Source organism: Homo sapiens, chromosome 14 (genome assembly GCF_000001405.40).
Source record: "Homo sapiens chromosome 14, GRCh38.p14 Primary Assembly".
Taxonomy (NCBI): Eukaryota; Metazoa; Chordata; class Mammalia; order Primates; family Hominidae; genus Homo; species Homo sapiens.
Genome location: NC_000014.9, coordinates 99,650,972 through 99,674,387, shown reverse-complemented (window position 1 = coordinate 99,674,387; position 23,416 = coordinate 99,650,972). Strand labels below are relative to the sequence as shown.

The 23,416-nt window shown below is 53.6% G+C and overlaps 1 protein-coding gene across 7 annotated transcripts in view, besides 14 other annotated features; it reads right to left on the bottom strand.

Annotated features, from left to right (window-relative positions):
- The window catches only part of HHIPL1 (HHIP like 1), a 76,032-nt gene that overhangs the window by 6,182 nt on the left and 46,434 nt on the right, over positions 1-23,416 (bottom strand). For 4 of the 7 annotated variants that reach the window (XM_011537236.3, XM_006720277.4, XM_017021707.3 and 1 more), the window contains 7 exons: positions 21,518-22,164; positions 17,245-17,388; positions 14,632-14,960; positions 13,982-14,108; positions 11,367-11,512; positions 6,085-6,166; positions 1,989-2,071 (listed from right to left, as the gene is read on the bottom strand). In XM_011537236.3, coding sequence (XP_011535538.1) covers positions 1,989-2,071; positions 6,085-6,166; positions 11,367-11,512; positions 13,982-14,108; positions 14,632-14,960; positions 17,245-17,388; positions 21,518-22,164 — 1,558 coding nt within the window. Of the gene's footprint in view, positions 1-1,988; positions 2,072-4,049; positions 5,557-6,084; positions 6,167-11,366; positions 11,513-13,981; positions 14,109-14,631; positions 14,961-17,244; positions 17,389-21,517; positions 22,165-23,416 lie in introns of those variants that run through there. The other 3 variants (NM_001329411.2, XM_011537237.3, NM_032425.5) reach the window with 3 other exon arrangements.
- Positions 2,027-2,626: an enhancer, noted in NCBI's record as "H3K27ac-H3K4me1 hESC enhancer chr14:100138099-100138698 (GRCh37/hg19 assembly coordinates)". NCBI's record gives its function as "activates a minimal SCP1, AML or CMV promoter by ChIP-STARR-seq in naive H9 embryonic stem cells {active_cell/tissue: H9 hESC(naive)}" and the evidence as "EXISTENCE:reporter gene assay evidence [ECO:0000049][PMID:30033119]".
- Positions 2,627-3,228: an enhancer, noted in NCBI's record as "OCT4-NANOG-H3K27ac-H3K4me1 hESC enhancer chr14:100137497-100138098 (GRCh37/hg19 assembly coordinates)". NCBI's record gives its function as "activates a minimal SCP1, AML or CMV promoter by ChIP-STARR-seq in primed H9 embryonic stem cells {active_cell/tissue: H9 hESC(primed)}" and the evidence as "EXISTENCE:reporter gene assay evidence [ECO:0000049][PMID:30033119]".
- Positions 3,229-3,828: an enhancer, noted in NCBI's record as "OCT4-NANOG-H3K27ac hESC enhancer chr14:100136897-100137496 (GRCh37/hg19 assembly coordinates)". NCBI's record gives its function as "activates a minimal SCP1, AML or CMV promoter by ChIP-STARR-seq in primed H9 embryonic stem cells {active_cell/tissue: H9 hESC(primed)}" and the evidence as "EXISTENCE:reporter gene assay evidence [ECO:0000049][PMID:30033119]".
- Positions 4,770-5,311: an enhancer, noted in NCBI's record as "H3K27ac-H3K4me1 hESC enhancer chr14:100135414-100135955 (GRCh37/hg19 assembly coordinates)". NCBI's record gives its function as "activates a minimal SCP1, AML or CMV promoter by ChIP-STARR-seq in naive H9 embryonic stem cells {active_cell/tissue: H9 hESC(naive)}" and the evidence as "EXISTENCE:reporter gene assay evidence [ECO:0000049][PMID:30033119]".
- Positions 6,510-6,669: an enhancer, noted in NCBI's record as "active region_9008". NCBI's record gives its function as "activates an Ori minimal core promoter by ATAC-STARR-seq in GM12878 lymphoblastoid cells {active_cell/tissue: GM12878}" and the evidence as "EXISTENCE:reporter gene assay evidence [ECO:0000049][PMID:35858748]".
- Positions 9,260-9,804: an enhancer, noted in NCBI's record as "NANOG-H3K27ac-H3K4me1 hESC enhancer chr14:100130921-100131465 (GRCh37/hg19 assembly coordinates)". NCBI's record gives its function as "activates a minimal SCP1, AML or CMV promoter by ChIP-STARR-seq in primed H9 embryonic stem cells {active_cell/tissue: H9 hESC(primed)}" and the evidence as "EXISTENCE:reporter gene assay evidence [ECO:0000049][PMID:30033119]".
- Positions 9,280-9,379: an enhancer, noted in NCBI's record as "active region_9007". NCBI's record gives its function as "activates an Ori minimal core promoter by ATAC-STARR-seq in GM12878 lymphoblastoid cells {active_cell/tissue: GM12878}" and the evidence as "EXISTENCE:reporter gene assay evidence [ECO:0000049][PMID:35858748]".
- Positions 9,450-9,499: an enhancer, noted in NCBI's record as "active region_9006". NCBI's record gives its function as "activates an Ori minimal core promoter by ATAC-STARR-seq in GM12878 lymphoblastoid cells {active_cell/tissue: GM12878}" and the evidence as "EXISTENCE:reporter gene assay evidence [ECO:0000049][PMID:35858748]".
- Positions 9,805-10,348: an enhancer, noted in NCBI's record as "OCT4-NANOG-H3K27ac-H3K4me1 hESC enhancer chr14:100130377-100130920 (GRCh37/hg19 assembly coordinates)". NCBI's record gives its function as "activates a minimal SCP1, AML or CMV promoter by ChIP-STARR-seq in naive H9 embryonic stem cells {active_cell/tissue: H9 hESC(naive)}" and the evidence as "EXISTENCE:reporter gene assay evidence [ECO:0000049][PMID:30033119]".
- Positions 9,982-10,276: a silencer, noted in NCBI's record as "tiled region #811; HepG2 Repressive non-DNase unmatched - State 20:ReprD". NCBI's record gives its function as "represses a minimal TATA promoter and a strong SV40 promoter by Sharpr-MPRA in HepG2 cells {active_cell/tissue: HepG2}" and the evidence as "EXISTENCE:reporter gene assay evidence [ECO:0000049][PMID:27701403]".
- Positions 10,969-11,468: an enhancer, noted in NCBI's record as "H3K4me1 hESC enhancer chr14:100129257-100129756 (GRCh37/hg19 assembly coordinates)". NCBI's record gives its function as "activates a minimal SCP1, AML or CMV promoter by ChIP-STARR-seq in primed H9 embryonic stem cells {active_cell/tissue: H9 hESC(primed)}" and the evidence as "EXISTENCE:reporter gene assay evidence [ECO:0000049][PMID:30033119]".
- Positions 11,469-11,970: an enhancer, noted in NCBI's record as "H3K4me1 hESC enhancer chr14:100128755-100129256 (GRCh37/hg19 assembly coordinates)". NCBI's record gives its function as "activates a minimal SCP1, AML or CMV promoter by ChIP-STARR-seq in primed H9 embryonic stem cells {active_cell/tissue: H9 hESC(primed)}" and the evidence as "EXISTENCE:reporter gene assay evidence [ECO:0000049][PMID:30033119]".
- Positions 21,280-21,780: an enhancer, noted in NCBI's record as "H3K4me1 hESC enhancer chr14:100118945-100119445 (GRCh37/hg19 assembly coordinates)". NCBI's record gives its function as "activates a minimal SCP1, AML or CMV promoter by ChIP-STARR-seq in naive H9 embryonic stem cells {active_cell/tissue: H9 hESC(naive)}" and the evidence as "EXISTENCE:reporter gene assay evidence [ECO:0000049][PMID:30033119]".
- Positions 21,781-22,281: an enhancer, noted in NCBI's record as "H3K4me1 hESC enhancer chr14:100118444-100118944 (GRCh37/hg19 assembly coordinates)". NCBI's record gives its function as "activates a minimal SCP1, AML or CMV promoter by ChIP-STARR-seq in naive H9 embryonic stem cells {active_cell/tissue: H9 hESC(naive)}" and the evidence as "EXISTENCE:reporter gene assay evidence [ECO:0000049][PMID:30033119]".

The following is a 23,416-nucleotide window of genomic DNA, read 5'->3' as shown; positions in this document are numbered from 1 at the left end:
GGCAGGTGATTTCCTTTGTCTCTGCAGAATGTGGGGACACGCTTGGCCCAGGTCAGCCACAGGGATAGACCTCAATCTACACTTTGCTGTGCCCAGCTCTACTCCACACAGGTGCAGTGCCAGGCACTGGGCACTGCCATGCGTCACAGCCCAAGACTGTTCAATTACTATGGGGAGGATCCTGGGGCCACCAGGCCAAACCTCTTTAATCCCGCCCCACTTCAGCCAGTCCCACTTTGAAAACCACTGAGAGAGAGCTGAGAAAGGGCCTCTCAGCACAAGGCCAAGCACAGGCCAGGGCCCAGAGCACCATGACATGGGCAAGGCGCTCCCTGTCCCTGCACCCTGGCCCCTGGCCCCCACCTCCTGCTCCTCAGGCTGCCTCACCTCTCCCACTGTGGCTCTTGCTGTTCCCTCTGCCTGCACTGCCACCCCCCTCGGTGCACCCTCCTGAGTGAACCTCCCTCTTGGTGCCAGCCCCCCTCAGTGCACTCCCCCAGGTGCACCCCCCCGTGCAACCTGCCTGGGTGCATCCCCCAACTCTGTGCACCCCCCCTCCATGCCGCCCCCCTCAGTGCACCCCCCCTCCATGCCACCCCCCTTAATGCACCACCCCCTCCGTGCCACCCCCTCAGTGCACCCCCCTCCATTCCACCCCCCTCAGTGCAACCCCTCCAGGTGCACCCCCCTCAGTGCACCACCCCCTCTGTGCCACCCCCCTCAGTGCACCCCCCCTCCATGCCATCCCCCTCAGTGCACCCCCTCCAGGTGTACCCCCCTCAGTGCCATACCCACTCAGTGCCATCCCCCTAGCTGCCACCCCCCTCAGTGCAACCCCCTATTGGTGCACCCTTCCTCTTCTTTTCAGACTCCAGGAACCCCTACCCCCAACCCCAGTCTCCACTGTTCTGGGTGGGTCCTCACGGTACCTGGCACACACTTCGATCACAAGGCCTTGGACAGTAAATGACATCTCTGTCCGTCCCAGCCAGAACAGGGCCTAGTCTGACTTCTCACTGTGGCTCTGGCATCCAGCATGGAGCCAGTAACTAACAAAAGTGCCAGAAACTGCTGAATGAGTAAATGAAAAACTCACCAAGCCCTGAAACCAACTGTGGCCAGAACTCACTTCCAAAATCACTGAGCTCAGACCCTTCCCCCTCTACCCGGGTACCTCTTCAGCCCAGGTGCCTAGCCTCCCTCTCTTCTTGCCCTCCCCACCCCCATACACACCCAGTCTGCCAATGGGTGGCCTGCTGAGCCCACTTGGCCTGCTGAAATATTTTCCTTGGCTCGCGGAGTGGTTTTTAAAATTCTGAACTAGTCGCCAACACTTTGAATTGGGAGGTTGTACCTAACAGGCTGAGAAGGCGAGGACTGCAGTGTCTCGCCGTGTGCTGTATCCCCAGGGCAGGGCACGTGTCCGTGGTGAATGAGTGGATGGGGGGATTTTCTGCTTCTCTGAAGAATTGGAAGACCTGGCAACACAGGGTCTTTGTTCCCACCTAACTTGGGCCCAGGGGAACAGCCCCAGCCTGGGGCATCCCCTTCCCCCAGTCCCAGGCCCCATGGGCAGTCATTTGTGGCCCTGCTCTGTCGTCTCTCCTCATCAGGCTTGTCAACAATCTATGAAGGCCCAGCCCATATGCCAGCCCCTCCCACAAACAACTCTTCCGGTCTCCCTTGCTTACACACAGATACATCCTCTTTCTCTGTCCCTCCCAAGAACTCACAGAGTACCTTGCCTGGCACCAGCTATTTCTCTCTTGGTTTAAGGAATTGTGACCAATCAAGCAAGACCCAGTTTAGTTAAAGTCCCATCCACCTTACCACCATGTCTAATGTGTGCCAGGCACAGTGCTAGGCACAGGGGCTGAAGAGGGGCATCTAGGTCCAGCTGGTAAGACCCGAGTCTGGCTGGAAAGGCAGCCGTTGTGGGCTGCGGGATCTCTCCCCCAACCCTCAGTGTCCCACTGGCAGGCACTTACTTTCTTTGGGCACAAAGGGGATGAGACGGCTTCTGATCTTCACCTGAGCAGGCTGGATCTGACATTTGCCAGGTGGTGCCCGCCTGCCAACGACACACAGGAGGTTATGAGTCTCACCCTGGGAGCCCACCCTGAGGGTGCCTTTTCTCTACAGTGAGGCAGGTATGAACAGCAACGATAGTAACAGGCGGCCATTCACCATGCACCTACTGTGTGGCCTGCAGCTTCCCTGCCCACTCCATGCCCCCAGGATTCTAAGAGCTCCAGGGCATAAATCCCCTATAACAGCCTACCGGCTGCACGCTCAGCCTCTGCTGGAATAGCACCAGGGCTGGAGGCTTACTCTTTCCCAGGACATTTCTAATCCAGAGCATGGACTCTGTCCTCAGGGTGTGAACAAATGCCAGTCTCTCTCCTCCCACAGCCTGCCGTCTGATTCCTGAAATGCAGCCTGATTCCTGCCCGCCACCCTCTCCCACCAGCCCTACAGCCTTTGAGGAGGGTCTCTCTCTGCCCCTCTGGTTCCTGGATTTCTGATGCAGGATCTGAGAGGCTCCTCTGCCTGGAACCACCTAAAGGACGGGGGCGGCGGGGGTGGTAAGGAAAGCAAGCCTTGTGCCTGGAGGCAGAGCTGAGGGATTTGGGGCCTTGGCATGTGGGGTGTGAGAGAGCAGGGAGACAAAAGAGTCAGAGAAGGGTGCCAGGGCTAGGAATTGGGTCTCCTTTGACATTTTTAAGGGCACAATAGGGAATGGAATTCCGTTTTAATTAGTTTTTGGCCGTCGATCTGTGATTCTTTGGGAATGACCCCATTCCAGGACAGACCCACGTGGGCCCACGACTTCAATAGGATTCCAGTGGAAAGGCCAAGGGGTGAAGCAGCCACGTGACACGGAGTGGCCTCCAGACAGGCTTGGCCGAAGAGGGACACAAAAGAGGGACAAGGGTCTTTGTCCCCAGAGGCTGCAGAAACACAACCAGGCACATACGCTTCTCAAAGCTGCAGGAAAAGCGAGGTTTTTTTCTTGCTCTGACCTCCAGAGAACATCCACACACTTCAGACAGACCCAGTGGGGCTTTTGTTCCTTAAGGAAATTGCATTAAAAGTCTTTGTTATGCAAAAGGGTAGGATATCCACCCCAAAATGCCACAGTGGTTACGTGTGGGTAGTAACAGATGACCTGACCCTACCTCCTCCACTCCCCATTTATTTCATTTTCCAAATGTACTATAATGGGACCTCTGTGTAATATGTGTGGGTGCAAAGAAACAGTTATTCCAAGACAGGAGAATGAAGGGAGAAGGGTCAGGGCGGGAGGAGGAATCTAGCCCACTTCTGGCTCCTAACACAAGACCGTGAGCGAGAGAACTCCTTAAGTCTCGTTGGGGTCCCTCTCTATGACATGGGGACAACAAGCCAATAGGGAAACGGGATTGGAAAAACCGAAGATGATGGCTCTAAGGCAACATCTGGCATGAATTAGGCACTCACTTGGTATATGTAGCATTTCCTCAGAGGAGCATTCTTTTTTGAAAATTGGAAATAACCTAAAATTCCAAGGAATGGGTTATAGTGACTCAGCAGAAAATCAAGCAGCCATTAGAAATGGTTTTTTGGAGGGCGATGTTTGCAACGTTTAGACAAAATGGGCATAAATGAAGGAAAAAGAACCAAGTCTGCGTGTGATCCAAATACAACCACATAAATCCTGGCGCTGCATAGATAACAATGGATGGGACCTCAGGGAAATGAGAAGGAAGGGATGGAAGCAGGAAGTGATTATGTTTTATTTGATAAAAAGTCATGTCAATAATTTATGTGTGCTCTTAAACAAGAAAAAAAAAAGTCTGGTAAACAAGGAAAGTGAGAAGCTGACACAAACAGGGGAAAGCTAAGCAGACGCAACCACTAAAGGCAACACAGGATCCTGGAACAGGAAAAGGGCATTGGGGAACAACTAGAAACATCCTTTGAAAAAGAGTGTGGAGTCTGGGCGTGGGGGCTCACACCCGTAATCCCAGCACTTTGGGAGGCCGAGGTGGGCCGATCACTTGAGGTCAGGAGTTTAAGACCAGCCTAGCCAACATGGCAAAACCCCATCTCTACTAAAAATACAAAAATTAGCCAGGCATGGTGGCAGGCACCTGTAGTCCCAGCTACTCGGGAGGCTGAGGCAGGAGAATCACTTGAACCCGGGAGGCAGAGGTTGCAATGAGTTGAGATCATGCTACTGCGCTCCAGCCTGGGAGACAGAGCAAGACTCCGTCTCAAAAAAAAAAAAAAAGTAAAAGACTGGAGTTGTAGAGTTTAATTAATAGTGATGGACTGATACTAGTTGACTAATTTTGACATGTACACTATGGTAATGTGAGGTGTTCATAATAAGGGACACAGGGTAAGGGGCATACAGGAAACACTGTAGTTTTTACAACTTATCTGTAAATCTGAAACTATTCTAAAATGTCTTTTGTTTTGAGATAGGGTCTTGCTCTGTTATCCAGGCTGGAGGGCAGTGGTGCGATCATAGCTCACTGCAGCCTCGACCTCCTGAGTTCGAGTGATCCTCTCACCTTAGCATCCCAAGTAGCTGGGACTATAGATGTGCGCCAGCACACCAGACTAATTTTTTAATTTTTTGTTGAGATGGGGTCTTGCTATGTTGACCAAGCTGGTCTTGAATTTCTGGGCTCATGAAACTCTCCGACTTCAGCCTCCCAAAGTGCTGGGATTACAGGTGTGAGCCACTGAGCCCAGTGTAAAAGATTTTAAGCACAATAAGTGTTTTAGAATTTTTCTTTTTGTAAAATTAATTAATTTTTTTAGAGACAAGTTCTCCCTGTGTTGCCCGGGCTGGACTTGAACTCCTCCCATCTGCCTCCCAAGAACGTGAAACATGCCAGCTTGTTTCAGGATTTTCCCAAACCTGGTGTGTCTCAAAGTTTAGGGTAACTAAACACAGTGGGGACTCCTAGAGTCTGCCAAAGGTGTGGATTCTCGGAGTGCAACCTCAGGCCTTGCGTTAGAGACAAGTACAAGCTGTGTCCGTACCCAGTGTTGAAGAGACGTTCAGACTGCTGTGGAAGCCAGCAGAGAAGCGAAAATCTAAGGGCTGAGAAGCAGCTTAGAAAGCTGATCACTCATTTATTCATCAAGTGTTCCTGAGTCTCTGCTCCGTGCCATTCCCAGCACCTGGGCGGCCTCTGCAGAGTGAAGAGATACAGGCTTGGCCCTGAGACTCCCAGAGCAGCTGGGAGAGAGTCAGTCGTGTAGCCCAGGGATTACCAAGTCTGAGTGATGAGAGCTGAGGAAGGGCTGGACAGAGGCCTGGAGGGCAACGTGGGTTGGGGAAGGTGCTTGAAGAGGGTGAGGTGAAGGCACACAGCCAAGGGGTTAGGGCAGGGCTCTGGAGCCAGTGGCCTGGGCCCCACCCTGGCCCTGGGCCCCAGGCCCATGACTTCGTGTCTTTGTGCTCATTTCCACCACTGTAAAATGAACGGCTGAGACGTCAATGAGCTGCACACGGAAGGAGCTGGGACATAGCCGGGCATGGCGCTTCTGGCCTTACAGCTAGAAGGGAAGCCGGGGAGATGGAGCCGGCGAAGGGAGCCCCAATGTGTTTTCCCCAGTGGAAGATGGACCACAGGAGGAAGGGCAGGCACGGGGCGGGGACACACAGGGATCAGGGTGTCATCTGGGAGGCATCACAGAGGCAAATTGGGGGCTGGGGTGTGGGGGTGCAGGGGCAGCCCAGGAAATGAGGAATGAGGGGCCTGCTAGACAGGAGGAAGACGCAGGGAGGGCGGGCCAGGCAAGAAAGCCAAGTGAAGCCTCGGCCCGCGGCCCCAGTCACCTCTCCAGCTCCCTCCTATCCTAATAGACCTGTGCTTTGAGGCGTGCAGACCCGGGTCTGAATCCTGGGTCTGCCCCTTGCCGGAGGAACTGAGGCAAATCACGTCCCTCTCTGGGCCTCAGGGTTCTTGTCTGAAAATGGGGATTAATACCACCCACCTGAGGGCGAGGCGGAGGGGACAAGCCCGTGGAGCTAAGAGGCCTGACAGACAGCAGGAGCTCCCTGTCCTGGAGGCTGGGACTCACCTGGATGCGTCAATTATTTTGTAGACAACTCCGCGTGGAGCTGTGGCACTCGGCTCCCCTGTCGACATGAAGTACAGCTCCCCTTTGGACAGAACAAAGTGACTAGTGAGACCCCCACCTGGAATACCGTCCCAGCCAGCCCCGCCTCACCACCCGGCTCCCTGCAGGCTTGGAAATAGACCCCAACCCCAGCTAGCCATCACGTGAGGCATCCCAGCTCAGTCTAGCTGTCCAGTCCCCAGAAAGAGGAAGTGAGGCTGGGTGAGGAGTTGGGTTGTACCCAAGGGCCTCTGGAGCCTGGTCTTCCGGGTGTCAGGCACTCTGCCTGGACCCACCCAGGCTCAGATCTCTGCTCTTGCCTTTTCCCGGTGACCCAGCGCCACCCCTGTCACCTACCTGGGTTTCATGCCCAGCCCCACACACCTCTGGGCGCACATGAGGGGGCTACAGCCCAGCTCCCCAACTGCTTCCAGGGGACCCGCAGGCACATGTGGCTCTCTGAGCCTCAGCTTCCTCATCTCTAAAATGGGCATGCCTCATTGGGCTGTTATAAGGACTGAAGAGCGCAGAGCGTGTGCTTCATCAGCATTAGCTAGCTATGATTGCAGGCGTCATCCGGGATTTGGGCCCTGCCAGGTCCTCGAGGCCAGGGTGTCTCTCTGCTGACAACAAGCACCTCCCAGGCAGGAGCAGAGTACATGGCTGGGAGTGTAGGTCCTAGCCCCTCTGCTTGGCCCCCTGTGATCTCCAGCAGCTGTGTGATGGTCCCATTCTAAGCCTCAACTTCTCCCCATCTCAGAGCTGCGCTGAAAATGTAACCGTTGGAGTTCTGAGCCCCTGGTGCTGAGGACTGTCTCAGGGAACGTGGGTTCTCCCTGCTCCTCCCACTCCAATCCTCCCTCCCAACCCCTGCTGCCAGGGGCACCTATGACCAGAAAATAGGCTGCATTATTCCTACCTCACAGCTGAGAAAAAAAAAAAAGAGGCTCAGAGAAGTCAAGTGACTTGTCCTAAGTCACACAGCTAGTGAATGGTTAAGCCAGGACCAGAACTCAGGAAAGTCTGCTGCCCCAGCCCCACACCAATATTGGATGCATGGTGGCTGGGAGCCCAGACACAAGGCACACATGGCTCATCCTGAGGGTTCAGCCATGCTAATACCTCTGTCCTTGTAAAAGGATAGCAGAGAGCTCAGCTGGACTGGGGGCAGGGAGGGGGGTTTCCCCACGGAGAGGCTGAGACAGACAGCTTGGTAATAGGTTGGAGGAAAGCATATCCCTGGGGACAGGTGCAGTCAGGGAGGGCTGCATGGGGGTGGGGTCTGAGAAGCAAGGCACAGGAAACTTGGGAAGTGCAAAGGGAAGGCACTTGAGGGGTAACTTGTGTAACCGGGGTAGACCCAGCTGTGATGGGGCTGGGGGATGAGGAGAGCAGTACGCTGAGTGGTCAATGGCCCCTGACCCCCCAACCCAGGGGCACCAGTCCCACTGGGGAGGTCGGGGGAGGAGCTGTAGGCACACATGGTGATGATGCAGCCTGCAGCATTGGGGGTCCCCGGGTGGAATGTCCCTGCTGAGAAGTCCATGGGCACAGCCCTAAATTGGCCACACAGCCTTGGGCCGTCCACTCCCCTCTGGGCCTCTTTCTGGAGTGAGCCACCAGGAGCAGCCCTGGTCTCCTCTGTTCCAACCCCTTGAGGAACTCCCTGGTTCATCTGGCCAACCGACCTTAAGGCCCCACTCTGGGAGGTGTCCAGGGGCCAGGCTGGGCATGGTGCCCCTCCTCCATAACCAGGCGTTCATAGTCAGCCACAGTTTCCCCATTGGTAAAATGACAAGGCTGGACCAGGCAGACTGCAAGGCCCCTTCCAGCCGTGATCTGCTGGGAGCTGTAGCCCCCAACCCTCTGCACACACAGGGAGCCCCTGCGGATGCTGCCAAGCCCGCCCAGGGCTGCTGTTGAGACTCAGAAAACAATGCTCCAAAATGAAGGCCTCAGAAGCTGCCTCCGAAGCAAAAGTTTTTCTCTGACCTTCGCCTGTCCTCCCGTCTCTCAGTCCTGTTCTCCCCCGAGGTGCCATAGAAACTAGAATCTCTCTTTCCCATGGCAGATCGTAGAAACCAGCACACATTTCCCCCAAAGCCAGTCATAGAACCTAAAAATATTATTGTAACTCTCCCCCAACCTTTCTGTGTAAAACTGGCCATAAAGAAATTATCTGAGTTCAGGCATGGTGGCTGACGCCTGTAATCCCAGCACTTTGGAAGGCCAAGGCGGGCAGATCACTTGAGGTCAGCAGTTTGAGAGCAGCCTGGCCAACATGGTGAAACCCCATCTCTACTAAAAATACAAAAATTAGCCAGGCATGGTGGTGCGCACCTATAGTCCTAGCTACTCGGGAGGCTGAGGTATGAGAATCACTTGAACCCAGGAGGCAGAGGTTGCAGTGAGCCGAGATCACACCACTGTACTCCAGCCTGGGCGACAGAGCGAGACCCTGTCTCAAAACAAACAAACAAAAACAAAAATCCCACAACAACAACAATAACAACAAAAAAAGAAATTATCTGGGTCAGATATGGTGGCTCATGCCTGTAATCCCAGCACTTTGGGAGGCCGAGGCAGGGGATCACTTGAGCCCAGGAGTTCCACACCTGCCTAGGCAACACAGTAAGACCCCATCTCTACAAACTATTTAAAAAATAGCCAGGCATAGTTGCATGTGCCTGAAGTCCCAGCTACTTGGGAGGCTGAGGCAGAAGGATTGCCCAGGAGTTGGAGGCTGCAGTAAGCCATGATGGCGCCACCACATTCCTGCCTGGATAGCAGAGCAAGACTCTACCTCAAAAATAAAAAAGGAAGAGGTGATCTGACCCATTTGACCATTTGCAGGTCATAAGACCCCCATTCCAGAGACAGCCCCATACCCAGAAGGAAGGACTGATGCGCAGAGAGGCCAAGAAGAATCCAGACACACAGGCTGTGCTGGCCCTCCCCACTCAATCAGCATAAGGTCAGGACCTTTTTGTCCAATCACATTTCTGCACAGCTGTCCATACTCTGCTGCACCTGAGCATAAAAATGGACAATTTCGGCTGGGCGCGGCAGCTCACACCTGTAATCTCAGCACTTTGGGGTCACCTGAGGTCAGGGGTTCGAGACCAGGCTAGCCAACATGATGAAACCCCATCTCTACTAAAAAAAATACAAAAATTAGCCGGGTGTGGCGGCACGCACCAGTAATCCCAGCTGCTCCGGGGGCTGAGGTATGAGAGAATCGCTTGAACCCGGGAGGTGGAGGTTGCAGGTTGCAGTGAACCGAGATTGCACCACTTCACTCCAGCCTGGGCAACAAGAGCGAAGCTCAGTCTTGGAAAAAAAAAAAAAAGAAAAAAAAAATGGACAATTTCCCCTGTATCTTTGGGTCTTCATTCCAAGGGCTCCTGTGTCATGTCATTGTGACAGGATGCATTTGTGTGCCTTTTCTCCCAGGAATCTGCCCCTTGTCAGTGGTTTTCCATGAACTTTCAGAGGGCAAAGGGGATGTTTTCCCTTGGTGGGACACTGAGCCACCTTCCTGGTCTCTGTGGTGTGGACTGTCCCTAGAGCACACTGGGCCAGCAGAGGTACTTGTTTTGTAATTTGCAAGTGTTGGAACAATTAGAGAAGCAGAAGTGGGAGCTGAGGGCAGGGGGAAGGTTTGTTTGCGTTGGACCCCAGGGCTCCGGGCTCTGTGCTGTCCAGAGGCCACTGCCAGAGCTGTCCCTGGGCCGCCAGTCTCACTGGTGCCTCCTCCTGGTTTTCCACACTCGGGTGTCACTCAGAGGGCTGAGGAACAGCCTTTTGGGAACTGTACCTTCCTTCCAGGCCCTGCCTCTGTGAGGGAGGGGCACCCCTGCTTCTAAAACACATTAACCCCCTACTGACCAAAAGAAAGGGCTTTCAAGGGCCCAGAGGGCTTAGGAATGGCTGTGGGGGCTGGGGGCTGCCTTTTTGGAAATTCAGATTCTGACGGTTCAACAAAGGTTTCCCAGACACAGCCCTGGGGGCTCTGGGCACTGAGCCGGGCAGGGGACACCCCTCCAAAGGCCCCTGGGTGGGCGTTGCCTAGCAACCCCAATAAGCATCCATTAGGGCCCACTGGGGGCCCCTGGGCTTTTGTCCAGGAACAACCCGGGGCCAAGGACAAAAGCAGGAGGCTGGAGCAGGATCCAGTCTCCAGGCCCCTCTTCCTCTCCCCTCCCACTCTGTCCCTTGCATTGACAAGTGCCTAGATTCAGGACCCACTAACCGGCAAGAAGGCTGTGTCCACCCGCTTTGAAATAATTATGTGGTTTCATTGAATGGCCCAAATCCATTTGCCATCAGGAGCTCCAGGCCAGGGGAGGTCTCTGGGGAGGCTCTCTTCCACACCTGCCTGCATTTCCAACATTCCAGATCCTTCCTGGCCGGCTAACCGGCATGGACGCTTACCCATGTTATTAGACTAAAGCTCATGGCAACCTTACCCAGGGTGAGGGTGAGGTGGGGGTAAGAGGAAGAAAGGGGCCACTACTTCCATTTTCCATAGGAACAAACGGGAGCTCAGAGAGGTGAAGACGCATGAGGAGGTGTCAGATGCCTGTGAACCAGAGCAACTCCATCTTAAATAAGAGCTGGGTAAAATAAGGCTGAAACCTACTGGGTTGCATTCCCAGACAGTTAAGGCATTCTGTCACAGGATGAGATAGGAGGCCGGCACAAAATACAGACTTTGCTGATAAAACAGTTTGCAGTAAAGAAGCCGGCTAAAACCCACCACAACCAAGACGGCCTCTGGTCGTCCTCACTGCTACACTCCCACCAGCACCATGACAGTTTACAAATGCCATGGCAACGTCAGGAAGTTACCCTATATGGTCCAAAAAGGGGAGGCATGAATAATCCACCCCTTGTTTAGCATATCATCAAGAAATAATCATAAAAGTGGGCAACCAGCAGCCCTCGGGACTGCTCTGTCTATGGAGTGGCCATTCTTCTATTCCTTTACTTTCACTTTACTCTATGGACTTCCCCCGATTTCTTTCTTACGTGAGATCCAAGAACCCTCTCTTGGGCCCTGGATTGGGACCCCTTTCCGTAACAGAGGCACATGCACGTCTGGAGCCAGGGAACATCCCAGGTGGGAACTAATTTCAGGCCTGTGTGGTCCTTCCCCTACATCAGAGACCAGAAGGACCACAGGGTGGAGGACCAGTCCCAGGCACGAGCAACCAGCAAGGAGAGGTCTCAGGAGTGCTCACCGGCCTCGTCCTCCCCGAAGGAGATGATGTACGGGTAGTAGTTGTTGATGAGGCCTGGGAACTCACAGGTCTGGCCGTGGCCCATGCAGATCTCACTGTACTGCCACTGGCCTGTCCCTGGGTTCTCTTGGAGGGACATCAGACGCCTGCAAAGGAAGATGAGCTGTGAGGCCATGCCTGGCATGGCACCCAGGGGAACCTACCCACCAATCCATCCATCCATCCATCCATCCATGTATCCATTCCTCCCTCCCTTCTTCCCTCCATCCTTCCACCATCCATCTACATATCCACTCACCCACTGATCCATGCAAGGACCATACACAATTCGCAGAGCCCGATGCAGAATGAGCATGCAGGGTCACTTGTCCAAAACATATTAAGAATTCAAGATGGTGACCACAGAGCATGAGATCAAGGGTGAACCTTTCTGGGTACCGGGCCCTCTGTGACTGCACATGTGGTATGTCCATGAAGCTGTCACTGTGTGCAATCTTCACCCAGCACCTACCAGACACCCACAGGAACGAACAAGACCGGCTTGGTTACTGCCCGCTGAATGCAATCCAGCCCACTGGATCCTACAGAGGGCACAGCGCTTTCAAGAGCTCACTGGTTTCAGAACCTGCCAAGCACTGGAGCTCCAACATCTTTGGAATATGCTAACCTTGCTCCTTACTCCCATCGCTGCTTGTCAATCACCTATTAATACTTCCAGGCCCTGCTTAGAGATGTCCCCTCCTCTGTGAAGCCCTCCCTGAAGGCCCCCATGCTGGGCTCCCCGACACTGTGCACAGGCTCTCTGGGGTTGCAGTGCAGTGGACTGAATGGGTCTGTCTCCCTGGCTCGGGTACGAGGGGTCCTATTCATCTCTGTCATCCTGGTTCTTGCCTGACCCAGCAGAGCGGCTGGGAAAATACTGGCAAAATTAGTTGAATTTCTGTGGTCAGGAGACTTGGGCTCTCCTGGGAAGGACAGAAGGGAGAAAGGAGAATCAGGGGTAAAAACAGAGGCTTCATCTGTACCCATTTTCCAGATGGGAAAGCTGGGTCCCCGGGGAAGGGGCGGATCTGGGAGAGGAATCCAACTTCCAGGGGCCCAGGTCAGGTATCTCTCTCAGCTCCAGGCTGCAGGCTGGACACAAAATCAGAATTCTCCCACTAGCTTCAGGCATCTTCATGTCTTTATTCCCTCTCCTTAGGAACCCTATTCGGCTGCTGCCAGAGGAGGTTGCATGGAAATAAGTAAGAAACACCAGGCTGGGCACCGTACCTTCAGCCTGTAATCCCAGCACTTTGGGAGGCCAAAGCAGGAGGATTGCTTGAGTCCAGTTCAAGATTAGCTTGGGCAATGGAGCAAAACCCCATCTCTACAAAAAATGCAAAAATTAGCCAAGCGTGGTGGCACATGCCTATAATCTCAACTATTCAGGAGGCTGAGGTGGGAGGATTGCTTGAGCCTGGGAGGTGGAGGCTGCAGTGAGCTGAGACTGTGCCACTGCATTCCAGCCTGGGTGACAAAATGAGACCCTGTCTCAAAAAAAAAAAATCACCATATATTAAGCATGTACTCCTTCCTTCCTTCCTTCCTTCCTTCCTTCTTTTCTCTCTCTCTCTCTTTCTTTCTCTCTCTTTCTTTCTTTCCACACTAGATTCTAAGTGATATTTATGTATTAACTGATTCAGTCCTTAAAACCACCCTAGGGGCAAGTACTATGATCATCTCCATTTTGCAGATGAGGTAGCTGAAGATAAGGAAAGGTGAAGTAACTGGCTCAAGGTCACCTGGCCAGTAACTGAGCCAGAGTTCAGACCAAGCCGTCTCAGCCTGCCCTTGGGCCTCTTTAGTCCTCAGCTTTCTCCTCTGTAAATGGGACAAGGTGGTCACGAGGCTCCATAAGCACCCTTGGGGACAGAGCCTGACTCGAAGGAGGGTTGTGATGTAGGTTTCCCTCCCCCATCAAACCTATTTGGGATGTGATTCATCCTCCTCCCACAGCAGGGTCTCAGTGGGTGGTACTGCTGCCCTAGAGCACGGGGGCAGGGCAGCAAGGCTCCAAGGCCACAAGAGCCCCACCTCCTCCTCTCCCCATTAGGAGGCCCATGGGCAGCCACTGTTCTCTCGGGTCTTAGTTTCTCAACCTTTGCAAGCTCCCTGCAGTCCTGGCTGGGGTGGGGTGGGGCAGGGCTCCAGGCCCCCATCAGCTGTTGCAGTGACAAGCTGTGGCTTCCCCAGGAGCAGGGTGGCCCTGAGTGTCCAGGAAATTGTTCATATTCTGCCCTCCTGCCCATCAGAACTGCTGTCAGGCCCAGAGCCCATGGTTCTCAGGAGGGAGAGGAAGACCACGGGACCCGCACTTAAGCAAGCCTCCAGTCTTTAATGCCATGAGTTGTGTGTCTATCATAGAGGTACTGAGGCCTGCAGCAAAGGCTCACCATACATCTCAGGAGAAAAGCGGGTGGATGCGGGTGTCCGGCCCACACCTAGGGGCCCCTGTCAGAGCAGCGAGGCACATGTGCAGGAACGGGCGCACACATACACTCCCCTTTACCAAGGAGCCAGTCCCAAGGAGCCAGTGGCAGCAGCCAGGGGCGCGAGGGCACTAGGTCACTTACCCGCTCATGAAATCCCCAAAAATGTAGAGGCCGTTCAGGTTGGGGTACTCGCAGCCCCGGTACACGTAGCCCCCTGTGACCGACTTGCCAACCGTGTGCGGGTAGGCGAAAATCGGCAGCAAGTCATCTGCGGGGTGGGAGGGAGAGAAGCTTCGGTGAGCCAGCGGCGGGAAGGTTCATCAGCCAGGAGAATTCCGGAGGGATTCCGCGGGGGTGGGGCGGCCACGGAGGGAGGGGCGTGCCCACAGCAGGGCTGGCGTGCCCACAGCAGGGCTGGCGTGGTGGAAAGCGTGTCTGCAGGGGTGCCAGGTGGGGATGGAGCGAGGAAGAACTCAAGAGCGCTGCTGGGAGGCCTCCAAGGCGCAGGGAGGCTCCGGGTGGAGGCGGGGGCAGTCACCGAAGGAGGCTTTGGCTCACAGCCCGTGGAGTTGGGGTGGGGGCAGATCCAGGGTCAGGGGGTGCCTGGGGTGCGGGTGGTCCCCGAGTGAGGCCCTGCCGCACAGCCCATAGAGTGGGGCCGAGGACAGACTCAGGGTCAGGGATCTCCGGGGGGGGGGGGGTGCGGTCTCCGAGGGAGGCCCTGCGGCACAGCAGGTGGGGTGGGGTGGGGGCGGATTCGGGGCCGGGGTCCCCGGGGCGCGGGCACTCACTGAGAGAGGTGTTGGCGCACAGGCTGCGGTCGTAGCACTCGAACCCTTCGCGCGCGCGCCAGCCATAGTTGCCGCCGCGCTCCACCACGTCCACCTCCTCGAACTTGTTCTGGCCCACGTCGCCGCAGAAGAGGCGCCCGCGGCCAGTGCCCGAGGAGGGGTCGCCACGGTCGAAGGAGCAGCGCCACATGTTGCGCACGCCCAGGGCGTAGACCTCGGGCTGCGCCGCGGGGTCGCCCACGAACGGGTTGTCGGGCGGGATGCCGTAGGGCAGGCCGCGCTCCTTACGGTCCACGTCGATGCGCAGCACCTTGCCCAGCAGCGCCGACCTGCGGGCGGGGTGGGAGAGGGCGCGGCTCGGGGTCGCCCTGAGCCAGGGCTCACGGGCTCCGCGGGGCAGGTGCTGGGGCGCCGGCTGACCGCTGAGCCAGGTGCAGGGTGAGCCTAGGCTGTGGGGCCAGAGACCCTGGGATGCTGTCCGCCTTAACTACTTACAGCCGGGTAACCATTCATTCACTCAACATGCATCCCCCACCTTCCTGTGCGCCAGGCCTGTCCCATGCGTTGGACACAACACATCATCTATTTCGTCTTGTCCTCACAACAGTCGTTTAGGTAGGTGTGTCCTAGTATGATCCCCACTTTACAGATGTGGCAGCGGAGCTCAGAAAGCTCAAATAACATCGCCCAGTTGCCGCACCGCTGGGATCCAGCCCAGACAGCCTGGGCCCAGAAACTCAAGCTCTTTACCACACACTCTGTGGAATCTTGGTGTCCTCAACTGTAATAGTAGAGTGGTCCCGCTCAGACCATTCAGTCCTCCCGGACTGTGGTATAGGGTGAAAATTCCACTAGAAAAAATGACTTGTATTTACAGTTTTCTTCCAGTACTCGGCACTGTGACCAGCACATAGTAGGTGACCATTAAGTGCAGAGTCAGTGAATGAAGGATTGCAATCAAAGCCAAATGCACCAGCGTGCGGGTTGGTGGGGAGAGGGGGAGAGAGCAGAGGGGTGCAGCCCTAAGCTCCAAGCAGCTAAGGAGGATAGCTCATGACAAAAGTGACGCGTGATGGGAAAAATCTGTAATGTGCTTAAAGACAGTGCGGAGAACATGCCCTTCTCAGCGGTGATTTCTGATGCACCGACTGAATGCATCAGTTTCCCTTGCTGTTAGCATTTTGGTGTCCTCCCTCTGGGTTGCTTTTCAAGGCAGGGTTTGTGAAGCTGTATTCCATCATCCTCACATAGCGTTAGCACCCACACCTTTCCCTTATCAGTAGGGACAGCAAACAAGTATCCTCTTTCACGGTGATGAAACGCTCCCACCCGATATATGCCTTGTGATCAAGCCCCTGTTGCTGGCCTTCTACTTTCCCCCGTAAATTCCTCTCATACACTCCAGCCTGCTGAACACCATCCAGATCACACCCCTGAACCCACGCGTCACATGCCAGGATTCGATATCTAAGTGGGCACAACTTGTAGCAGCAAAATAATGTTTTTAAGTTCTGTCCAATTATCCATTAATCCTTAATTTCTGTTTTCTCAACTTCATCTCTAAACACATCCCAAACGTGAGAAAGCTGGGATGATGCTTACACTGTCACACGTGAAAGGACAACTCACAAATTGTGAGCACTTTAATTACTGTAATCAACATCATACTTGCTATTTTTACTTCCTGGGCTGAGGAAGGTTTTACCATTTTGGCTAAGGGAATGGGGGAGGCTGACTTGAGACTCCTGGACATCCTGTTTACACTCCCAAGACTGTGTGTATGTATGTGTGTGAAGGTATGTATGTATGTAGATGTGTGTATGTGTATGTATGTGTGTATGTGTGTGTACATGTGGATGTATGTGGATGTGTGTGGATGTGTGTGTATATGTGTGTGTATTGTGTGTATGTGGTATGTGCATATGTGAATGTGTGTGTGCATGCATATGTATGTGTGTATATGTGTGTGCTGTGTATATGTAGCATATGCATGTGTGTATGTGTGTTTGTGTGTGTATGTGTGTATATATGTGTGTACATGTGTGTGTATGCATATTTGTGTATGTGTGTGTGTGTAATGGAATGAGATCTTGAGCTCATTTGCTCAAGCCAGGAAGTGGGTAAAAGAGCAAGACTACACGTTAACATCTGGGTCTTCCTGAGGGACCCTGGGACAGGAGCCCCACGTGCTGTTGCCACCCTGCTCCAGCCAGCTCACACTTTCCATTCGGCCTGGGAAGCATCCCTTCCCTTCTTCCAGCAGGGGTCTGGCAGGGCCAGGCTGACCTTAGAGAAAATCCCATCTGCCCTGAGGCTCGCTAATGCACCTCTCAGGCGCCTGTGCCCAGAGGGTCCTGTGCCAGGCCCTGAGCAGCCATGATTGCCTTTACTCCTTGTGACAAGCTGCCTGCAGAGTGGACTTTTACCCCCTCTAACTGATGAGGGCAAGTGACTTGCCTAGGCTGCCCAGCTAGCTGCAGGCTGAGCTGGGACCCAGAACCTTTTCTCCTGCCCTACAATGCCTGGCCGAGGAAGGAACTCACCCTCTGGAAGAGTATGAGAAGCCCAGGGATATGGAGACCAACCCACAAGCCAATCAAAAGCTGAACATACTTGTTTTGGGCATTTCCAAATGTCCCAAAGGGGTCTCCGGCCATCCCGCCATCTCCAGTGAAGATGTAGAGGTACCCGTCATCCCCGAAAAGCAGCTGGCCCCCGTTGTGGTTTGAGGCTGGTTCTTTGACCTCCAGGATTATCCTAAAGGAAGATAAGGGCCCCTAAAACTCAGCCTTCCACGCATGAGCCAAACACACAAAACAAGATCACGGTCTCCTTGGATGTCATTTCACAATGGAAAAGACCTTCCTTCCTTCCTTCCTTCCTTCCTTCCTTCCTTCCTTCCTTCCTTCCTTCCTTCCTTTCTTTCTTTCTTTCTTTCTTTCTTTCTTTCTTTCTTTCTTTCTTTCTTTTCTTTTCTTTTTGCAGACAGAGTGTTGCTCTGTCACCAGGCTGGAGTGCAGTGGCACAATCTCAGCTCATTGCAACCGCCGCCACCCAAGTTCAAGCGATTCTCCAGCCTCAGCCTCCTGAGTAGCTGGGATCACAGGTGCCCGCCACCATGCCTGGCTAATTTTTGTATTTTTAGTAGAGATGGGGTTTCACCATGTTGGCCAGGTTGGTCTCAACCTCCTGACCGCAAGTGATCTGCCCACCTTGGCTTCCCAAAGTGCTGTGATTACAGGCGTGAGACACCATGCCCAGCCTGGAAAAGACTTTTCATATCCTTTACATTAAGTGATTTTCCACAAGGAGCTAGTAGGTAGAATGAGCAAAGTTAATGCACTCTATCGTGCCAAGGAGGACCTAAAGGCTCAGAGAGGTTGAGCAACTTGTCTAAGGTCACACAGCCCACAGGTAGCAGAGCTGGGATTAGAACTCAAGTCTTCTCGTTCTGGCCTAGTGTTTTGTTTTGTTTTGTTTGTTTCTGCTCTCCATTGCTAGCACCTGCCCTGTTATGATTATGGGAAATTGTCGACCTAGTCACTGACACAGCTGGTTTCTTCCTCATCATAGCTTCCCACACACTAGTTACTTATGTTGAGCTCATCTTATGTACTCTCTCATTTGCAGCTTCTAACGGTGGGCAGGACGGTGTGCGGTGCACTCAGCGCCACACTCACCCTACTCAGGAACCTCCCTTACTGCCATTGCAGGAAACCTACCACCATACTTCCCAGCCAGCTGGCTTCCAGTTTGGGTTGGTGGGTGGAAGGGAGAGACCAGGTTTCTTTGGCTTCTAGCCCTGCCTCCGGAAGTGGTGGCTGCAGAGACAGCAGGGTTGGCTGGTGAACGTGGACTCCTGGGTTTCCACCCAGCCATCTTGGTACTAAGAGCAGCAAAGTCCACAGCACAAAGGACTTTTTCCCTTTGTTCCTCCAACCCAAGAGTGGTAGCAGCTTCTTACAGTTACTAGTCTTTAAGTAACTTAACCTTCCTCCTCTCCTTCTCCAGCCCTCCCAATGCCTTAGTCATCCCTGTGTTCAGTTTCCTCTGACTGAAATACTTAGGGTGGTTTAGGTTTTCCAGGATCGGTCACTGATTTCTCAATCCCTTCTTTTTCTTTCTTTCTTTTTTTCCTTTTTTGAGACTCTACCACCCAGGCCGGAGTGCAGTGATGTGGTCATAGCTCACTGTAGCCTCGAACTCCTGGGATCAAGGGATCTTCCTGCCCCAGCCTCCTGAGTAGCTGAGACTACAGGTGCATGCCACCATGCCCGGCCAATTTTTTAATTTTTTGTAGAGATGAGGGCTCTCAGTGTGTGGCCCAGGCTGGTCTCGAACTCCTGTCCTCAAGCGATCCTCCTTGCTTGGCCTCCCAAAGTGCTGGGATTACAGGTTTGAGCCACCGCACCCAGCCTATTAATCCCTTATCCATACAAATAAGAAAAAATTAGATACAGAAAGGTCAAGTGACTTGAACCCAGGACTTTGATTTTTCAGAGCCAAGACTGGAGGACTTTTCTTTGTGAGGCCTGTGCATATGATCTGGTGAGCAATACAGAGCTCCAAACTCCAGGTTCTCCATGGAGAGAACAGCTCAGACTTTCGGTCATCCACCCGGCATTGGGATCTCAGCTCTGGGAGGAGAGACTGACAGCGGATTCAGGCAAGGATAACCACTCATTCCTGGCCTGCCCTGAGCCTGCTGTGCCTACCTTTCCCCAACAGTGAGTCAAGTTCTAGGCTTGACTTTGTGAGGTCACCAGAGGACCTTTGCTGAGCCCCCACTCTGAAATATGTTCATCTGTGTATTTTGTGTTCCACCTCAAGTCTTTATCAGGAATCCATTTTTAAAAGTCACCACTGAAGACACATCCATTCTGTCCCTCCATCTCCCCTCTGTCAGATCCATGTGATAAACTTGGTCTCTCTTGGAGAACTGGCTGTACAGGCTCCTGTAAGATCTGATAATTATGTTTCCTCCTTTCACTCTGGCTGCCAGGAAGCTCATAGTCAAAACTAATGCTGTGAATCATAAAGCTTCACATTAGCCTTCATAGCTAACATATTTGATTTCTCCTCCTTTTTATACATTCGGTGTCAAGATTTTACAGTTTTATCAAACACACAATGTGCTGTTCTTTGCCAATTTGCCCTCACACCCAGTCCTGGCCCTCCCCCTACCTCCTCTCTACTGCAGGGGGTCAGCTCCTATGAACGACATTTCCCAGGCTTCTTAGATAGCTGGCCTCCAGCGAGGTTCAGCCAGTGGACAGCATTGGCAGGAGCCTGGAGAGGGAGGAGCACTGGGGTTTTTCCCCTTCTCTGCTTTAAGCAGCTTCTTGGCAACAGCTGCTCCTTCTCTCGGCTCCACCTCCTCCTGCCCAGGCCAATTATGGCTCCAGCTTCCACTGGGTGTCCCCAGCTCCAGGGCGCCAGTAACCCCATCTTCTCACTTTGTCCTCCCGGCCCAAGGGGTAGAGGCAGCTTCCTCCAGTTTTTAACCTCAGAGTCGCTGCCTTCCCCAGGTTGCCTTTTTTCTTTTTTCTTTTTTTTTTTTTTTTTTTTGAGACAGAGTCTTGCTCTGTCATCCAGGCTGCAGTGCAGTGGCAGGATCTTGGTTCACTGCAACCTCTGCCTCCTGGGTTCAAGACATTCTCCTGCCTCAGCCTCCCGGGTAGCTGGGATTACAGATAACCACTACCACACCCAGATAGTTTTTGTGTTTTTAGTAGAGACAGGGTTTCGCCATGTTGGCCAGGCTGGTCTTGAACTCCTGACCTCAAGTGATCCACCTGCCTCAGCCTCTCAAAGTGCTGAGATTACTGGCGTGAGCCACTGCGTCTGAGCCCTTTTATCATTTCTAACACATGAGTAACTGACTCCCAGGATCAAATTCTACCTATTGAGTTACCTGTTACAGGGTTTATTTCCTACTGGACTTAGACTGATACATGTGCCCCACGTGCAAGGTCAGGTCAGACCCATTTTGAAAACAGTTGGGGCATAAATCATCCACAGAGTGCAGGCTCTGCAGGCCTTGTTGAGAGGAGCAAAAGCCCAGAGGCAGGAACAGATGAACTTCAGGGCAGGAAGGAGAGCAAGTTCCCTGAGGCAGGGGATTCAGGTGGGAAAAAGGACCCAGTGGGGCTCAAGAATGGCACCTTCGGCCGAGGCGGGCAGATTGCCTGAGCTCAGGAGTTCAAGACCAGCCTGCGCAACACAGTGGAACCCTGTCTCCACTGAAATACAAAAAATTAGCCAGGTGTGGTGGTGTGTGCCTGTAGTCCCAGTTACTCAGGAGGCTGAGGCAGGAGATTTGCTTGAACCCGGGAGGCGGAGGTTGCAGTGAGCTGCGATTGTGCCACTGCACTCCAGCCTCGGCAACAGAGTGAGACTCCATCTCAAAAAACAAAACAAAACAAAAAAGATGGCACCTTCAGGCCAGAGCGAGGCAGGCTGGGGCAGAGGGCGGGCTTTGGAGACAACAGATCAGGGTTCCAGCTCTGACCCTCCCTCCCCGTGTGACCCAACACTTCACCTTTCTAAGCCTCCACTTTCTTATCTGTAAAATGGGAAAAATAATACTAGCCTCAGTGGGTTTTAGGAGAATCAAATGAAATGAAGCATCTAAAGTGCCTGAAATAAGAGTTGGTGGAGAAATGTCAGGCCTCACAGGCCAGATGGAGGGGTTTGGATATGATGCCTGTGTGAGGTCTGTTCTGTAAAACTGTCCTTCTCCAGGCCCCAAAGCATGAAATTCAGCACCCCCACCAGGTGTGTTAAATATTCACAATATGTGAGAACAGGATACCAACTGGTCCTGTCACACCAGTGCATATGGGTGCCTGCCCCCACCCAGGCCCGGGTTCCCCAAGGAAGCCACCTCTCAGAGCTGTGGTCCACGGCGTTCTCGTCATCCTCGGAGACTCTGAACTCGCTGATGCGGATCCACTCACTGCTGCGGATACCCACTGAGTAGTAGACGTAGAGCCTGCGGTTGTGCTGGAAGCTGGGGTGGAAGGCAATGCCCAGGAAGCCACGCTCGTCACCCTCCCAGGGCGAGGTGAGCACCACCCGGCTGATGTTCAGGAAAGGCTTCCCCAGCCTCGAGCGGTCGGGCAGGTAGGCCCACACCAGCCCCACCTGCTCGGCCACGAAGAAGCGGTGGGTGCCATCCCTGGCATGGACCATGGCCACGGGGTTGCGCAGCCCGTTGGCCACCTCCTCCAGGCACAGCTGCAGGCAGCCCTTGGCATCGGCTACCACGTGGCCCAGGTTTGAGTTGAGGTTCTTGTTGACCAGCAGGTAAGGGAAGCAGTAGTCCGTGTCATCCAGGGACAGGTAGCGGCAGAACCTGGCAAGGTTGCCCTCCAGCGCCCAGAGCTCCTGGTCAGTTGACAGGTGACGGAACAGCCCCCGGCACTTATGCCACATGTCCAGGCAGTAATCCTGGCAGAGCCCGGGCACCGTGCGCAGGGGCGTGAATGGGTCCTCGGCGTCATAGAGGTGGGCTGCATACGGCGAGCATTCCTGCAGAGACAGTAATGGCTCAGAGATGTTTTGTGGAGGTGCTTACCAGCCCAAGGTTACCTTGGGCGGGTCCCCCATCTCTCAGAGCCTCAGTCTGCTGATCCATAAAATGGAGACAACGCCATCTGCCTGTTACCACGATAAGCCTCAGTGACAGTAGCAAACCTTAGGTCTTAATGTTTGTGTTGTTGTTAGAACACTATTACTACTCCTATTAATAGCAGCAGCAACAGCAGCAGCTACTCTGGAGCACCTGCCGTATGCCAGGAAGAGTCTGAGGCACTGTCACCCACCCTCTCTGTGTTAACAGTGCGCCTCCGCCCCTACATCAGCACAGCTCACTGCTGCACTTAACTTGGGTTCCTGCCCAAGGCTCACCTCCGATCCTCCCTGACCACCCCGTCCGCACCCTCTAGTACCTTCCGGCCTCTATCTGTTGAAAAACAGTAAAACACGAAGTGCTCTCTAACTTGGCTCTGCCCATGGACAGCTCCATCATCAGCTCCTGCCTCTCCCCACCTCTCCAGCCTCCTGTCTACCTTCCATCTCCTGATACTCTGATATGGCTTGGATCTGTGTCCCTACCCAAATCTCGTGTAGAATTGTAACCCCCAGTGTTGGAGGAGGAGCCTGGTGGGAGGTGACTGGATCACGGGGCGGAGTTCTCACGCATGGTTTAGTTTAGTACCATCTCCCCTTGGTACTGTAGAGCGAGTGAGTTCTCATTAGATTTGGTTGTTTTAAAGTGTGCCCCCACACCATCTCTCTCTTGCTGCTGCTGTCGTCATGAGACATGCCGCCTCCCCTTTACTTTCCACCATGATTGTAAGTTTCCTGAGAACGCCCCAGAAACAGAGGCCACTATCCTTCCTATACATCCTGCAGAACTGTGAGCCCATTAAACCTCTTTTCTTTATAAATTACCCAGTTTTGTTTTGTTTTGTTTTGTGTTTGTCCGTTAGTTTTTTTGAGACAGGGTCTCTCTTTCTCTCTGTCACCAAGGCTGGAATACAGTGGCACCATCTCAGCTCACTGCAATGTCTGCCTCCTGGGCTCAAGAGATGCTCCTGCCTCAGCCTCCTGAGTAGCTGGGACTACAGGCGAGAGCCACCACGCCTAGCTAATTTTTGTATTTTTTGTAGAGATGGGGTTTTGCCATGTTGCCCAGGATGCTCTCGAACTCCTGAGCTCAAGCCATCTTCCCGCTTCAGCCTCCCATAGTGCTGAGATTACAGGCGTGAGCAACTGCACC